This window comes from Homo sapiens, chromosome 9 (genome assembly GCF_000001405.40).
Source record: "Homo sapiens chromosome 9, GRCh38.p14 Primary Assembly".
In the NCBI taxonomy this organism is placed as follows: domain Eukaryota; kingdom Metazoa; phylum Chordata; class Mammalia; order Primates; family Hominidae; genus Homo; species Homo sapiens.
Window position 1 is genome coordinate 41,078,555 of NC_000009.12, and position 17,293 is coordinate 41,095,847.

General features: G+C 39.6%; 1 long non-coding RNA gene across 1 annotated transcript; it reads left to right on the forward strand.

The window, feature by feature from the left end:
* The first annotated feature begins 1,933 nt into the window (after positions 1 to 1,933).
* On the forward strand, positions 1,934 to 13,392 carry LOC105376058 (uncharacterized). Its single transcript, XR_929659.4, has 3 exons — positions 1,934 to 2,071; positions 3,185 to 3,341; positions 8,793 to 13,392. It is a non-coding gene; the product is annotated as an uncharacterized LOC105376058 (long non-coding RNA).
* The last annotated feature ends 3,901 nt before the right edge of the window (positions 13,393 to 17,293 follow it).

Here is a 17,293-nt window from a genome sequence, read left to right on the forward strand (position 1 = left end):
GCTTCTCTGTAGCATGGGTCACAATGAATGGTAGCCCTGATAGCCTAGAGTAGCCTTTCAGCCTTCTCTGAGCCTCTAAAGACTGAGGATCCTTGGCATGAAATAGGAGCAACTGATATACCCTTGCTTCCCCTGGGGACTCTCTTGCTCTCAAAAAGGCATCAGCCATCATCTCCATCTAGAGAATATACTAGCTGACTCAGCTTGACCAGCCTGTCCCAAAATGAGAATCTGGGTAAAATAAGTATTGAAACACTTCATTCCTTGTAGATTCACAAAACACATTAGCATATTAAAGACTATGAAGTTCTGCCGGAAAAAAAACCTATTTAACTTTAATCCAACATTGCCAAGTTTTATTTGACCATGGAAGATTTTTCCAAAACACTTACAAACAGATCAAGGACATTAATCTCTCATGAAACACTTTAGATCCCCAGGGTCCTCTCCAGCTACATCATTCTGTGATTTTCTTTTTTATTTATGATGCATTAAAAGATTAATCTCTATCAGACTTCCATTTAGAAATTCACCAGAATGTGCAAAGGCAGCAGGTAAAATTGCCGAAGGGTATTATAAAAATACCCTCCAGTGATTTTTGAAACTTAAACTGAAATATTTATATAACTATATATTTCAGTTTGTATATTATATATATATGTATATACACACATATATATGTGTGTATATATATTTGTGTATGTATATCTATATCTATGTATATATGGCATTATATCCATTTTACAGGTGCAGAAACTGAGCTTTAGAGGGGGTGAGCAATTGGTCCAAAGCCACACAGCACACAGGTAGTCATTGATAAAGGTAAAAACAAGAGTTGAAGCCTGAGGTGTAAGGACACAGAGACAAGTACACAAATGTTTACAAGTTACACATATGACACGTGCCTTTAACATGAATTTCTTGAACATTCATTTAGAGGCCTTACAATGAAGACATCAGAGTGGCAGCAAGTTCTGTTGGAATCAGGGGAGCGTGTTCTTCTATAATCCCCTGGCTGACAGGAAAGCACACTGATTTGGCCCATGGTAGTTATACACTCCCATTGAGTTAGGGGCCACTTCTATGCACACAGGAGGTGCTAAAAATATGCTGTTGACTCATTGCCTCTAAGAGCAGAAGAAATGCCAAAAGTATAGGACAAGAGGCAGAAAAGCACACGGAAAAATGTCGTAGGGCAGTCCTCTGAGGAAGTGTTAGATCCCTTTGAAATCTGTCCAAACACTTTCTTGTGCTGGGGAAAGTCAATTACATATTTCAAGCAACCCCACATGTCATACGAGTATCTTGTACACGTTTGCGTACTCGTGTCTGTGAACTTACATCTCAGACTTCAACTTCTCGCTTCCCACCCTTATCAATGACTGCCTGCATGGCCTTGGGCAAGTTGCTTTCCCTCTTCAAAGCTCAGTTTCTGCATCTATAAAACGGACATAATGCTACCTACCTCATGGGGTTAGTGATCACATTTAAGGAGCTAATATGTGGAGATTGCTTACACAGTACCTGTCACATAATAAGGGTTTAATAAGTGTTTGATGTAATTGTTTTGATTATTACTACTATTACTAAAATAATAATTACTACAATAATAATGATTCTTATTCTCTATATTAGTATTATCTTTGAAAATGGGCATGGATTATGTCTATGTAACACTTTTGGCACAATATCTAGCATTATATCACATACAAATTAGAGAATTCATGTTATTAAGGATGAAAAAATATTTTTACTGACCCTTAAATTCTTCATAAGTAACTGCAAAAGAAGCCATTATCCCAACACATGAAATAAAAAAAAAATTCAGTTCCTCTGGAGTTTGTTTTTGGAGGTAGCCACAGGATACCTAAATTTTTTTTTCTTTTCAGAGAGACCGAGGGGCTCACTAGGTTGACCAGGCTGGTCTTGAACTCCTGGCCTCAAGCCATCCTCCCACCTCAGCCTCCCAAAGTGCTGGGATTACATGCATGAGCCACCACATCCAGCCTCCCTAAAATATTGAATGCTGTTAATAAATCTCCTAAGAAGGTGATGGGCAAAACTAATGCAGGTATGTTTTTCTGGCTTTTTCATGTATTGGGCCCAACTTTGAAAAGCGCTTACTATTAATGGCTAACTTGCAAAATTTGTGATTTATTAAAAGCAGATTTTAATTGTTTTACCTAAAATTAATAGGCCTCTGATCTGCCAAAGATGAAGATTTAATTTCTAGGTGTTCCCCACAATACCTAGAAACATCAGTGTAATCGATTATTAAACACTTTAGAACTATTCTCATCAAAGTTCTTTATTATATAATACAGCAAAAGAAAAGTTTCTTTTCTAAAGGCTTCTCTATACTTTTTTTAATAGTTGAATTTCATTTCTGAAGGCTCCTAAAAAGAATAGAATTTAGATCTTTATTAAAGAGGAAATATATTTTCCATGTTTAATTTAAATTACATTCCATCAGTCATTTGCAATCTTAGCCTACACGGAATTTTTTTTTTTTTTTGGTAGTTTTTATGTTTGGGCTTTAGGAGGGGATTCCCAATAATCTCTATATAAATATTTCTAATCTCTATATAAATATTTTAACATTTCAATGTAAATTAGTTTTTTAAAGCTATTTTATCCATAAAAATAATGAACTTGCATGGCTGAGGGTGAAATAATGTGTTATCAGGAGCCCTCAGTTTTGGGGGTTGTGAGTAGATCCCATCTTCATGTTCCTCCAGCCCAGCCCAAGCCTGGCTCAGGTCCTCCTCCCCCATTTGTCAGGAACCACCATCCCCAGGGATTCTATGTGCCCTGCCTGACCAGTGTTCTCCATCAGAGTTTACCAATCTTTTGTTCATTCCCTCAGAGCACAGCTAAGCAAGAGTACACTAATTTGAAAATTAACTCAAGCAAATAGAGGAACAATATCCCCAACACATTGCATTTTAACATAGGGTTTCCTGGACACACTGTTTCAACCCAAGAGTTGGGCTAATAGTAGGAGTTCCATCTGCTAAAATACGGCTGTCAGCTTCAGAGGGAAATTCATGAACGTCTTCATAGTTTGTTTTTACGTTTCACTTGGCACTGTTTCTAAAATTTCCTCTGAAGCCAAAAAATAAGTTATTTCCCAGCACACTGGTCACTTTTCATTTATCATTGGATTGATTTTTCTAACTTGCAGTAGGAGCTGAAATCGACCAGGGGGTTCTTATCCAACAGACAGCAGCAAAACTCTTTGTGTATCTGCGTTCCTTTCAACAAGTGTGACTTCCTCAATGGCATCATTTGTGAGCGTAACACAGAGCTCAGCAATAACGTTTCTTCACTAACCCTACCAGGTATCCAACATAGGATGTTACTTCCTTTCACTGTTTTCCGACTCCTGGCAGATATTAATCATTGGGATTTGGGAACAAGGAAATAGAATTTCTGAGAATGCTTGGGAATTCCCAAATTCATATGATTTTCATAACACTTCACTTACAAGTTTTTGAAAAATAATAAGTGACTATAATAACAAGCAAATAGTCGTTTTTTTTCTGTAACAGGATTATATGAAAAGTTTTAGTAGTCTTCTGTTTTAAAAAGATATGATAACAAATGATGATTTATTATTATTATGAGCCAACATATTGTAACAAGATTATAAAATCCAATAGCATTAATAGAGAAAACATTAAAAAGAAATGAATATTATCACAAAATAAATGCTAAAGAAAAGTCCTTTAAAGATTGAAAGGTAACACCACAAATACTTAATGCTTTAATCATTGTTTACATGACATTGTTAAACAAGGCATCAATCATCCCCTCCAATACCATTTAAATAACATAACATTCTGATCTCCTGGCAAGACGAATAGCACTAGAAAGAAGCAACTGTCAAAATTGCCGATTTAAGGGCATATTTTGTTTCTAAAACTTGGCATTTCTTAGAAAACCTCTCATAGGATTTGTAAAACATATACTATGCCTACGAACACATTAATATTTATTTGCAGAAATGATTCACTGTTAGCAGTGGACAAGGCCATGAACACACACTTATAACACAGCAACAGATACAAGAAAGTGTGACTGAGGCTCCATTACTGCTCCTGTCCTGTTCACCTTAACTTTCATCTCCACGTGTCAGTGCTTCCTCATCTTGCTTGACTTGAAGTCAGTGCATTTCTTCAAGCCAGTAAGTTCTCTATACTGACTATTAAGCTGTAATTTTCACAGGAAAATTAGAATGTTCCTTCCCATTTTCCTAATTTCTCAACTGATTTTTCTCAGAATTCAGAATCCATAAATATTGAAATGCCAGGAGAGAATTTCCAAATGGAAATGCTATTCCCTTCGTCCATTTTCAGAAGAAACTGTAGCATAGTGTTATCCTTCTCTTCTCCAATTTTTTTTTTTTCCTGCAAACTTATGGTTATCACCTCTTTAATTTTGCCTCCCCTGCAAATGGTCCCAAAACAGTGAAGTGGGTCCTCTTTAGCTGTGTCTTTAGTACATAATCCTGCATTTCTGACCATATGCAGGGAGTGTGACCCAGGGAAGGATCCCTGACTCAATGGGATTTCTCTTGCTGTCTCTAGAATTTGAACACCGGAACCCAGACGTACAGAGGCTGGGAGCCATTGTGGTGTGCTATATTGATGACGGCAGCAGTGGGTGGTGTGGGGGCAGTTAATTGACAGCTACCTGTTGCTGACATCCCAGGAACTGCCTGAACCTCCTCTTTCCCAGTCATAAGATATCTAAGATTCTGCAGTATTCTTCATTAAATCCTAGCATGGTTTAAGCTAGCCAGAATTAGGTTCTGTTGCTTTCAATCAACAGAACCTTAGCTAATACATTGTTATTTCCTGGTCTTTGTTCCTTTAATTTTCCAGGAAAATAAGGGAAAATGGCTTACTGGTTTTAAAAAGAGACAAGGGACAACATACCATTTATGCAAAATTTAGAAGCACTCAAAGGAAACTCTGGAAAGTTCCTGAGACATATATAGGTAGGATCAGCATAAAACTTGAACAGTGTATCTAGATCATGGTTGCCATGGTTGCCTTGACACAATGAACATCTGTATCAAGATCATATTTTCTTGGTGGGACAGAGAGAAGCACAAGGCGGGACTCACATTTACAGTAATCCTTGTTTTCCAGGGACCATACAACCCAGTTTGTCTAGAGCTGTTCATCTTAAGTTTGTTATCCCACCATAATTATAAATAGAACCTCCTTTTTCTCTCAAGAATATCCCACTTTGGATGATAATTTCTGTGACTACCCATTAAGAATATTTAATAACTATAGAAAACTGCTTCTCTATATTTTTTGTATGTTTGAAACATTTTATAACAAAAATATCTTTAAAGTTATCACCTACACAGAATATAGCTGCCAAATGCTCCTACTCTGCTATTCTAACCATGAATCCCTCTGGGGCCCCTTCCTCCTATGGCACTTGTGAAGATGAAATGAAATAAGCTCTATGAAGTGCCCAACAGTGACCAACACTGAATAAAATACAGCCACCATAGGTGTCCTTCCCTTATGTTCACCAAACTCCTGATAAGTTATTTGGTGATGTTTTAATCTTAATATTTTATGTAGATTATACATTCATCTGATTCAAAATGCAAAAGGTACAAAAGCGTATACAGTTAAAAGCTTCCCAACCCACTACCTTTTATCTCCCTGGAGGCAACTGTTTCCAGATTTTTGAATATCCTTAAAGAATATCATATGTATGGAAAAGAAAGATTATATATTTATATGCATCTGTGTATGCATTTTCCTATGAGAGGCTCACAAAGTCTCCTTGAAGAGATATCATTATTACAAATACCCCTCAATTTACAATGGGGTTATATTCCAATAAACTTATGAAAATATTGTAAGCTGAAAATGCATTTAATACACTTAACCTACTAAACATCATAGCTTAGCTCGGCCTACCTTAAACACTCACATTAACCTACAGTTAGGCAAAATCATCTAACAGAAAGCCCATTTTATAATAAAGTGGGCTTTGAATATCTCATGTAATATAATGAATACTGTACTGAAAGTGGAAAACAGAATGGTTGTATGGGTACTCAAAGTACAGCTTCTGCTGAATGTGTATTGCTTTCAAACTATCTTAAAGTTGAAAAATCATAAGTCAAAATATTGTAAGTCAGGGATTGTTTGTACTTCCACTTTACATGATGAAATTGAGCCTTGAAAAGATTAAGTGACTCGCCCAAGGTCACACTGGCAGTTAAATAGTGAAACTTGGATCCAAATTGTTCAGTCACTACATGTATTGTCTTGAAATTTGAAAAAGAGGAAGAGGAATTAAACTACTAAATTGAAGGAATATTTTAGGCATAGAAGAAGCAGATGCCTTCATGTCCAAGTGATTGTGAAAAGCCCACTTGCCCCAAAATATGTCTCCTGGTCATATGAAATTCCACCATTTCAGATTTTTACCTGGGGATTTAGAGTAATCTGCTGTTCTCCTAGAGCTCCCCTAAAATAGAAATAGAAATTTTGGAAGGCTAAATATATGCTAACATTGGAAAACTCATTTTCTCCCCTTCGTAAGGCAAGGTACTGAAGGAGGGGGCCCTACAGGCTGTGCAGGGACATCCTGGAGGCATGGGGAGAAGAAACTGAAAGGCAAGGTTGTATGGAACAAAGAATACCGATCTCAGGATTCTCCCTTGAACCTGCCCTAACTTTGTTCAAATAGACTTAGCCACTGACCTGCTGTCAAAAGACCACAGCCAATCTGACTTGTTTTCAATATAATGATGAATATTGATTTGGTCCCTTCATCCAACATTCTCAGCTGGATCTCTTTTTGACCAAGGATATACATTACTAGGTGAGTACAGGCAGTTAATTCTTCCACACGGGACTTCGGAGTTTCTGAGTTAACCAGAATCACCCACCTTAACATCTGCCAGTTTATACCCCAAGTCCTGACCAGTGCCCCCTACCTGCTATGCCTCATGTTTTCAATATAGCATAAAATCAGAAATGAAAGATGAAACATCATAGCCAATATCACAGAAATACAAAGGATCCTAAGAAACTGCTAGGTATAATTACACACTAACTAATTGGATCATCTAGAAGAAATGGATAAATTCCCAGACACATAAAACCTACCAAGATTGACTCATGAAGAAATTAAAAAATCTGAACAGACTAATAGCAAGCAAGGAGGTTGAATCAGTAAGAAAATGTATCCTATCAATGAAAAACCCAAAACCAGATGACTTCCCAGATTAATTCTACCAAATATTTTAAGAAGAACTAATACCAGTCCTTCTCAAACTCTTCCAAAAAGCTGAAGTGGAGGGAATACTTCCAAACTCATCTTACAGGGCCAGCATTACCCTGATTCCAAAGCCAGACAAGAACACTACAAGAAAGGAAAATTACAGGCCAATATCCTTGATCTACATAGATGCAGAAATCCTCAACAAAATCCTAGCAAACCAAATTCAATAGCACATTGAAAGAATCATTCACCATGATCATGTCATGGTTCAACATAAGCAAATCAATACATATAATATACCATATTAGAAAAATAAAGGATAGAAACTATATGGCCATCTCAATAGATACAGAAAAAGCTTTTGACAAAATTTGAAACCCTTTCATGGTTAAAAAAAAAAAAAACACCCAGCAGATCACGTATTGAGGGACTGTATCCCAACAAAATAAAGGCCATATATGACAAACCCATAGCTAACAGCATAATCAGTGGTGAAAAGTTGAAACTTTTCTTCTACCATCAGGAACAAGACAAGGATGCCCACGGACACCACTTCTCAGGGTAATTAGGCAAAAGAAAGAAATAAAAGGCATCCTAATAGGAAAGGAAGAAGTGAAACTGTCTCTACTGACAGCATGATCTTGTTATATATAGAAAACCCTACAAACTTCACTAAAAAAAGGTTAGAACTCAACACAAAGAAGGGAACAATAGACACTGGGGGACTCCAAAGGTGGGAGGGAAGGATGGTGGGAGCAAGGGTTGAAAAACTACCTATCGATTACTATGCTCACTGCTTGGGTGGTGGGATCATTAGAAGCCCAAACCTCAGCACCATGCAATATACCTGTGTAAGAAACCTGTACATCTACCCTCCTGACTCTAAAATGAAACGTACAATATTTAAAAAACAAAAACAAATAAATAAAATTTGAAAACTGTTAGAACTGAACTGATAGGTGAAATCAGTAAAGTTGTAGGATACAAAATCAACATATAGAGCCTTGAACACAGCAACATCCAGCTGTCTGACATGAAAGTCTCAGGGGCAAGAAAACCTCTATATGAACTCAGAAACAATGAGCTAAGTTGTGTTTATGTCTGAAAGGATGTTAAGAACTGCATTCATGTTACATCAGAGCCAAAAGAAAGAACCAACAGGAAACCTGTACCCAACAAACAGAAATGACAAGATGAAGGGAAAGCAGAGGTAAGGGCTTACCTTAGAAAGGGCAAGTGATTAGCTCAATATGCAATACAATGTTTGCTCCTGAGCCAAAAATTTGTACAATAATTTGGATATTACTTGCACGACCAGAAAAATCAGCCACTCATTAGGAAAATGTGTTTCTGTATAAGTCTTAGGACTCAGCTATCTATAATAACATGAAAAGACAATATTTTCATCCAAAATGAGTATTTTTGTTTGTCTTGGCTTGTTATTCTAACGTCAACAGCCTCTAAATAAACTGTTGAAGTACATGATATAACCACCTCTTTCTCCATCTTTCCCATTGCTCCCATAGGGTTTCAGTTGTGCAATTTCACCATTAGCAAAGCTTTTTGCTGAAATCTGGATTTTCAAAGGGAGAGTATCCAGAAACAGAAGATGCTGATCTGGGAGGCTCTTCCTAATAGAACTGCTGCTTCAGTTTAGCTTGAAAAAGCCCACACTCAGTTCCTAATGACAAACATCTGAACACCAGGTCTTCCCACGAGCAAGACCATGCTATTCCTCCTGCTCGCTCTGTTCTATAAGCAACCCACAGATTGCTCCCTGTGAAGAGGAGCCTGCCAGGGAGCAGCATTCCACCAGATCCTGATTTAGCAAGATATTTCCGTATCATTCCCCCAACCAGCTGGAAGTCCTCCACTGTTCTTGTGTAAAAATCTAACTCATCTCGCTGAATTTCCTGATTTAAAAGTCTAATTCATTTCACCAAAAGTGTGACAGAAGGAAACCAAGTACACCATCTCTCTCTTACCAAACCAAAGCTATTGCATGTGCATTCTGGGAGAAAAAAATGGTCCAAATATGTTATGGAGGGGGTGCCAGCCCAGTGTCATCCTCTTACTATTGCCATAGGATCTTGGCTGATGGCATCAGAAGAAAAACAAGTTTATCGATTACTTTCAACCATTAAGCTCACTCCTCCATGAAAAATAAGTCACAAGTCCAATGTCTCTTATTAAAATAAGCACTGCAAAATATAAAGGACTCACAGTTTTAAAATGGGACACACGTTCTCTAAGCGGTGAACCACTTTAGAGGTGTACTGTTTACATTGTATAAAGTCCCCTGGAGCCAGGGTTAGGAAGCGCATCTGTTCTTTGGTGTTCTGGGATGAAGGAGAAAGGAAAATGTGCTGCCAGAAGTGAGTGGGAAGGAGCCCATGAGATAAAGGAAGTAAATCCATTTGCTGATTGCAATAATAATGGTAATACACGAAGCTATACATACATACATACATACATACATACATACATGCAAACTTTCACATTTTTTAAAAAAAGAACTTAAGGCTTCCACACATGTAATCAGCCCTTATGAACTCTCCTGATTAGCTGCAAGGAAAATCTTCCTTTCTCCTTTTTCCTGCACCATCCTGGGCTCCCTTTTGACTTTTTTTTTTTTTTTTTTTTTTTAACTTATAAACGATCAGCTCATATTCCGAAGTTTGTAGTCCCCTCCCGTCCCCTCTCTCTCTATACCGCTCATTTACATTGGCAGCTGTCGTGCTGCTGGGCATCCTCAAACCCACCAGTTTCCCTTTTATGTTTGAGCAGACAAACATGATCATGCACTAGGCATCACTGTGCCACTCAAAATGCTTTGTTTTTTTATTGCATCTGAGAGAAATCTCAAGGTTGCAAACCTGGAGTCAGAATTGTCTCCATGTGTCTCAGTGGGAAGAGTATCGTGTGAAGAAATAAGTTGATTCTACTAATCAAAAGGAATTTTTTTTGATATCAGGTCATCCTCCGAATGAATTTATATTACCGAGTGGAGGGTCACATGAAGAAAATGGTCAAACAGCACCACCTACAGCAAGAGCTGAGAAGTGCAGCGGAGCCGGGCTGAGTCAGGAAAGAAAAGCAAGCTGGGGCCTGGCTCAGAGCTCTCCCCTCTGCTCCTGTCTGCACGGAAAGATTAGGATGACAGTGGCAGGAAGCCTGTGCACCTAGTATGCATCACTTGAAGGGAACACACAGATTCCAGTAAACAGTTGGAAGGAAATGTTAATACCAGGCTCTGCTAAACAATATGAAATGACTCCTAGATGAGACAAGTGACTTTCATCAAAGTTTCCTGATACCTGAAAAGATAGCCCAGGTGATCCTGCACTACATCTGCTGTATGTAAATTAAGCGGGTTTTTTTCCCCTTTGTAATCAAGGCTCATACACAAACAAAATCACACTTTAGAAACGGCTTATTTCAACTTGTAACTAGCTTGCTTTCAGGGGCTCCAGGTCAAAAAGAAATAGAGCACAAAGACGCTTTCTCCTTAGGGATCATACACAAATTCACTCTGTCCGTTTCTTTCCCACATGGAGCAACAAAGCCATCAGACCTCTCCATCCACCCATCGGGTCCTTCCTGATTAAAGTGAGATAAATCACAGCCCTCTCTCTCCAGATGGCAGGCGACAAGAGGGGGATGCTTGCCTCAAGAAGTCCTCCCCATCCCTCTGCATTCATGCAAGCCCGAGCGGAGAGATGCAAGAAATTATGGATGCATTTTAATTGCCCAGACCCTGCAATTAAAAATGGAAATTTTTTGGCCACGCGTGTTGGCTCACGCCTGTAATCCCAGCACTTTCGGAGGCCGAGGTCGGCGGATCATTTGGGGTCAGGAGTTCGAGACCAGCCTGGCCAACATGGTGAAACCCTGTCTCTACTGAAAATACAAAAATTAGCTAGGAATGGTGGTGGGAGCCTGTCGTCCCAGCTACTCGGGAGGATGAGGCAGGAGAATCACTTGAACCCGGGAGGCAAAGTTTGCAGTGAGCCAAGATCGCACCACTGCACTCCACTCTGGGTGACAAAGCAAGACTTCATCTCAAAAAATGTTTTTTAAAAATGGAAGTGTTGTTCTTTCATTTGTAAATGTGTTTTGGTAAAAGAGGGGCAGTTTAAGCAACCCTTTTTTGTTGTCTACATTGTTAAAATTCATCAGACATGGACTCTTGACTCCGTTTTGCCTGGGCAGACCCAATTCAAGCATTTACAACAGCTATAACTTCCTCAAATCAAAAAGAGGAATCAGCATTATTGCTAAGTTCAAATAAGGTCTTGTTTTATTTCATTTTTATTTTTGAATGCAGCCATTCCTCCAGGTGCTATCATCAGGTAAGATTGTCAGTCCTGATTAGGTAAAGGTATTATTACAAAATGCAATTCTTAAAAATTCAGTGTCTAACTACACTTTTAATAAGCCTTTCCCCCTCCCCTATGTATTCTCCCTTAGACACCCCTTCTCAAATTTAAAATCACAGAAACTAAAATATGATGCCTAAAGAGAGCCTAGCAACTGCCCAGTCCTCTAATTTGATGAGTGGGAGTACTGAAGCCCAGAGGAGGTCAAGTAATTTGTTCCCAATGTCTTAGATAAGAAGAAAATGACCAGCTGGGAAATCCCACTCATGTCAAGGCAGAGGCACAGGGCCACAGACTGTGGTTGAATTGTGCCACACTCCTACATCCTTCTTTAGGAATCACAGAACATTCCTGTGTTGAGTTGGAGTCACTGACTTCCTTTTCAGGCTGATTGAGTTCTGTCCTTACAGGCTGCGACAAGAAGTTTTGGTATTATGCTACACCAAGACCATTTATCTAGTTCAAGAAATGAGCACAGTCCTTAGAGCCCAGCAACTTTCCCCATGTCCAGTAAATGTAGCTTCTCCATTAGAAGCTGTCAGAATGGAGCCTTCTGGCTCATCTTGATTTTGATTTGTGCAAGAATGAATGGTTGTGCTAAGACAGCTTTCCTAGCTGATAGTGAGCAAAACTTTTTTCTCATAATCTATAAAAAAATATTAAATTAGAAGCACAGAGTTTATTTCATGACTTTTATCTTCCTGCAATTTTCTTATGGGCATAAATGATTTGTTTTTATCCTGCCTGCCCCCCCAATCCCTTTTCCAAGAGACTAAAAGAGTATCTAGTGCAAAGTAGATACTCAAATATTTTTTAATAAACAGTGATCCCAGCCACCCAGTGCATGTTGCCAAATGCCAACCCCATAAATGATCAAACACATCATCTCATTCAGCCAATCAAAATCAAGTGCTACCTATTTTTTTAAGTTTTCATAGCCCTTGGGCATCTGCTTTCTCAGCATTTCCCAAACTTGAGTCATTCTCATCCTGCCTTCATAATTTTGCTCTGTCAATTACCTCTACTATTATTTATTTCATATATTTTTAAATAGCCCCACTTTTGAAACTTAAATACATGCCTTTTAAAAGGAAGCTTTCTTACTACTATACATCAAAAGCCATTATTACTTGTTCTAAGTACTCATAACAACATATTCACAACTATTAAAATTTAGTAATGTGCATCCACATACTCTCTAAATTCATGGAGCATCTGCACACACTTTAAGAAACAATTCTGCATTACTCACTCAATTTTCTTGACATCCTTCTGAGGCAGGACAAACCTTGGGCCCAAAGAATTGAGGTAGGAGTCCAAGCAAGTTGCCAGCCACATAAAGGCAAACCTTGGCTCGGAAGTCAGGACCTAGGTTATGGTTCATGCTCTTTCCTCTGCTCTCCAGAACCTCCTATCTCCAAGTGTAGTTAGCAGCCCAGATGCAGCAGCATCCCCTAGAGACTTGTTAAAAATGCAGAAGCTCAGGCTCCACCCCAGGCCTATGCAGACTGAATCTGCATTTTAACAAGGTCCAGGTAATTCACGTGCACATTAAGTTTGAAAAGGCCTGGTCTAGATCAGCAGTTCTCTAACTTAGCAGCACATTAGAACCATCTGTAGAGACTTTAAAAATACCAGTGCCTGGGCTTCATCTCCCGGAGAATCTGATTTAAGTGTCTGGGGTTTGCCCTGAGTCTAGGTATTTTTTAGAACTCCTCAGCTTATACAAAGCTGGCAGGGCCGGGCACAGTGGCTCATGCCTATAATCCCAGCACTTCGTGAGGCCAAAGTGGGCAGATTGCTTGAGTCCAGGAGTTTGAGACTAGCCCGGGCTAAAACCCCATCCCTACAAAAAAAAAAATACAAAAAGTAGTTGGGCATGGTGGTGGCACATACCTGTAGTCCCGGCTACTCAGGAGGCTGAGTCCTCGCTTGAACCCAGGAGGTCACGGTCTGGTCAACAGAGCAAGACCCTGTATCAAAACAAACAAACAAAAAATGCTAGCAGCTTACCAGCTAGGGAGGCCTGTACAGCCAAGTTTTCCAAATGGGGCTACATTAGTTGTTCCAGAACTTTAGCTGCATCAAAACCACCTGGATGGCTTGTTCAGCTACAGAGGGTCTGGCCATGCCCCTAGAGTTTCCAGCTGAGGGTCTGGAATGAGGCCCGATGATTTGCATTTCTAACAATCTCCAGGCGATGCTAATGCTGTGGGTCCAGGGACCACATTTTGAGAATCTATGCTAAATGAACCGGACAAGATCAAAGCTCAAACTTATTCCAAGAACTTTTCAAGGCCCACCTGCAAGTTGTAGTGGAAGTAAGCATCTAAGGGTGCAAAAAAGTTTCACTGTAGACTAAGGCCTTTTACCTGAGCTCTCAAATGTTCACATTTCTCTTATCAACCTAAATAACAAACAGAGAGAGGCTCTCCACAAGAAAAAGATATTCGTTTGGAAACAGAGCCTTGCAATAGAAATAGGCAAGCCAGAGTAAACTATATGCATATTCACGGAGGTAAAGGAAGACAAAAGAAAAAATGAGGAAGATTATATGATCATTTGGAAATGATTATCCTTGGCTACAAAGATCAATAACAAAGGTGATGCCAGGCCCAGGTTGGACAGGCAGTTGTTGGACAAATATCCTTCAGAAGCATTGTTGTGTGCAAAGTTGCGATGGGCTTTGTGCAAGATTGTGTTTTTTGCAGTCTTCTGTGATAAGTTTTTGTTATCAGGCATACAAGCCCAAGAATCCTTTTTTGCATGGCCTTCCCTGGCTCTATTTGTCAGGGTTTTGGTTAGGGGAGGGGTATTTTTAACACTCTCAATGTAAAAAATGCCATAAGGTAGGTACCCCAATTGCTTGTTTCGTCTTCATAAAATAACTTTTCCACCCGAACAAAGTCTACACATAAATTGTAAAAATACCCTGGCATGCAGTCCCTGGAAAAGTTTGGAGTCATTCTCGGGGTTCCCACCCAGGTGGGCGAGTGTAGCCACCACAGATAAACACAAAGTAGGGGTGCCCGCTGGGGTTTGGTGGCAGGCAGTGGCCCTGGTTGGTATATTTGGCTGAAAACACAGCTCCTCTTTGTCACCCTCAGGAAGCCATCCCAAACCGCTCGAGGAGTCCTTGAAGCCAATGTTACCACTAGGGCAGCAAGTTTGCCTGAAAGCTATTTGCCTTTGCAGCAGATTCATTAAGCCAGAACAAAGAGAAGACCAATGACTAAAAGATTTCTCTCCTTTTAAAAATCATGCTCTTTAACTCATAGCACATTTTCATTGTCCATCTGGGCAAAGCCGCTGTCTCATTTTGCTTTTTCCCTCGTCTGTGATGCTCACACTCATCCTCCCTATCCCATCAGCAACCTCTCTAGTATGTTTGATATGTGTCCTTAAACTTTATATCTTGGCCGGGGGCGCGGTGGCTGTAATCTCAGCACTTTGGGAGATGGAGGTGGGTCTATCACTTGAGCCCAGGAGTTTGAGATCAGCCTGAGCAACATAGTAAGATTTCATCTTTACTAAAAATAAAAAACAAAAAAAATTTAGCGAGGTATGGTGGCCTGTGCCTGTAATCCTAGCTACTTGGGAGGCTGAGGTGGGAGGATCACTTGGGCCTGGGAGGTCAAGACTGCAGTAAGCTGAGATGGCGCCACTGCCCTCCAGGCTGGGCAACAGAGTGAGACCCTGTCACAAGAAAAAAAAAAAAGAAAAAACAACTATCTCTGTAGAAATAGGCAAGGTTGTTTGATATGCAAATGTGGCTTTAAATTACATAATAACATTATATCAGTAAGCCCATTTTTTTCTTATAGTTGCACTCAACATCATGATTTTAAGACCTAGGCATGTTGCTTTATATTTTACCTCATGAGAAGTCACCTTTACACATCTGTTTCTCACACTGAAATCAACATGCTTTTGAGTCAGTATTTAGGACTGAGTGAGGCTGTTCGCTGGAGTTAATCTGACACCAGATGCATTTATCCCTCTTTAGGACTGTAATGAATTCCTTTCCGCTCTGTTCGCCCATGCTCACTAGTTGGCATCACAGATGTCATCTTTGAAAAAGAAAAACATCTCATCCCTTGGTTTCCTGACAACCACCCCCACCCCCTGCCTTGGCTCTTTTTCATGGAATTTGCACCAAACAGCACAGAGACAAACGTCTCTCTAACGTCTATGATTTATCCTTGCTTACACAAGATCACTCCAGCCTATAAAAAAGTATTTTTAAAAAATATGAAAAGTTACCCCAGTCTTGGATTACAGAGTTTCAGATAAAAATGAAAACATAGTAAAATTGCTTATCAGAGAGTTTCCTGTTCTTATTCGCCCTTACTCCTTTCGCAGATGTGAGTCATAAATCCACAACCAAATCCTCCCTCCTTCAAGGTCAACTCCTACTAACACCCATGAGGAGGGAATTTGGCTCATATAATAACACTTAATTAAAATGTATAATGTCCACATGTACATGAGAGATAAAAAGAATGCTTCTTCGGGTATGTTTCCAGCCCAATCTTTCAAAATACGTGAAGTATTTCTTAATCTACTATACCCTATAAATGATAAATATAAGATACTAAGATTTAAAATACTTTCAATAACACTTTCCTAGGCCTCCAGATGAGCACTACATAAGTTTATAATAAAATATTTAAAATAGCTACCATGTATTATGTGTTTTTAATGTGCCAGGCACTGGAGTAATGTGCTTTCACATTTTAATTCTCATAAGCCAAAAACATAGATTTTTTATCTTCGTTTTAAAGTTGAAAGACCTAAGGCTCAGAGATAAATTTTTTAAAAAATCTTTAATCCCTTTATACAAGATTAGCTCATTCTCACAAGCCAAAAATAAAACCCAAAACTCCCATATCTCCCCACATAAAAAAATACTCTTTAACTTCTTTCTCCCTCCAGAACCCCTCCTCCCTCTCCTTTCTATCTTCAGCCAACATCTGGAAGGTTCTGTCTACATTCACTCCTCCATGTTAACGCCTCCCTCTTCCCCTCCTTTCCTTGCAACCTGGTTGCCTCTCACAGCAGTGAAACAGAAAGCTGTTTCCTCAGCCCATAACCAACTGTAACTTTGAATCACAGTGCACCCTTGGCCGTGGCCACCTCCTCCTTCAATTTAACTCCCTGCCTTGATCTGCCATCTCTGGCATGCTCTACTTACATTCACTCCTCCTCTTCATGTGTTTCTGGGCTGCTTTGCCAACTCTTCTTCCTCTGCTGCCCTCATACATCCAGGCAGAGGAGCACAGCTTCTGCCTTGGCCTCCTGCCTTAGTTCTAACTGGTGTCCCCTGAGCATCTCAAGCCCCCAGACTGGAGCCTGTGTCCTGGGGTTAATTCCCTTCCCCACCTATGGAGGCTTAGCTCCTGCCCACCAGTGGGGTTATCACAAGTGCCTGCCTTTTCCTCACACTCTGCCTCTTACAGGGTTTCCGTAGGCTGGCCATTTGTGAGTTGTGTGACCCTGGACCTCAGTGTCCTCCCATAGAAAACAAGGAGCATGAACTAGATTTATCTCTAGTGTCCTTTCTAGGTGTTTCTTTCTTTCTTTATTTTTAAACAAGATCTCACTCTGTCACCCAGGCTGGAGTGCAATGACACTAACATGGCTCACTG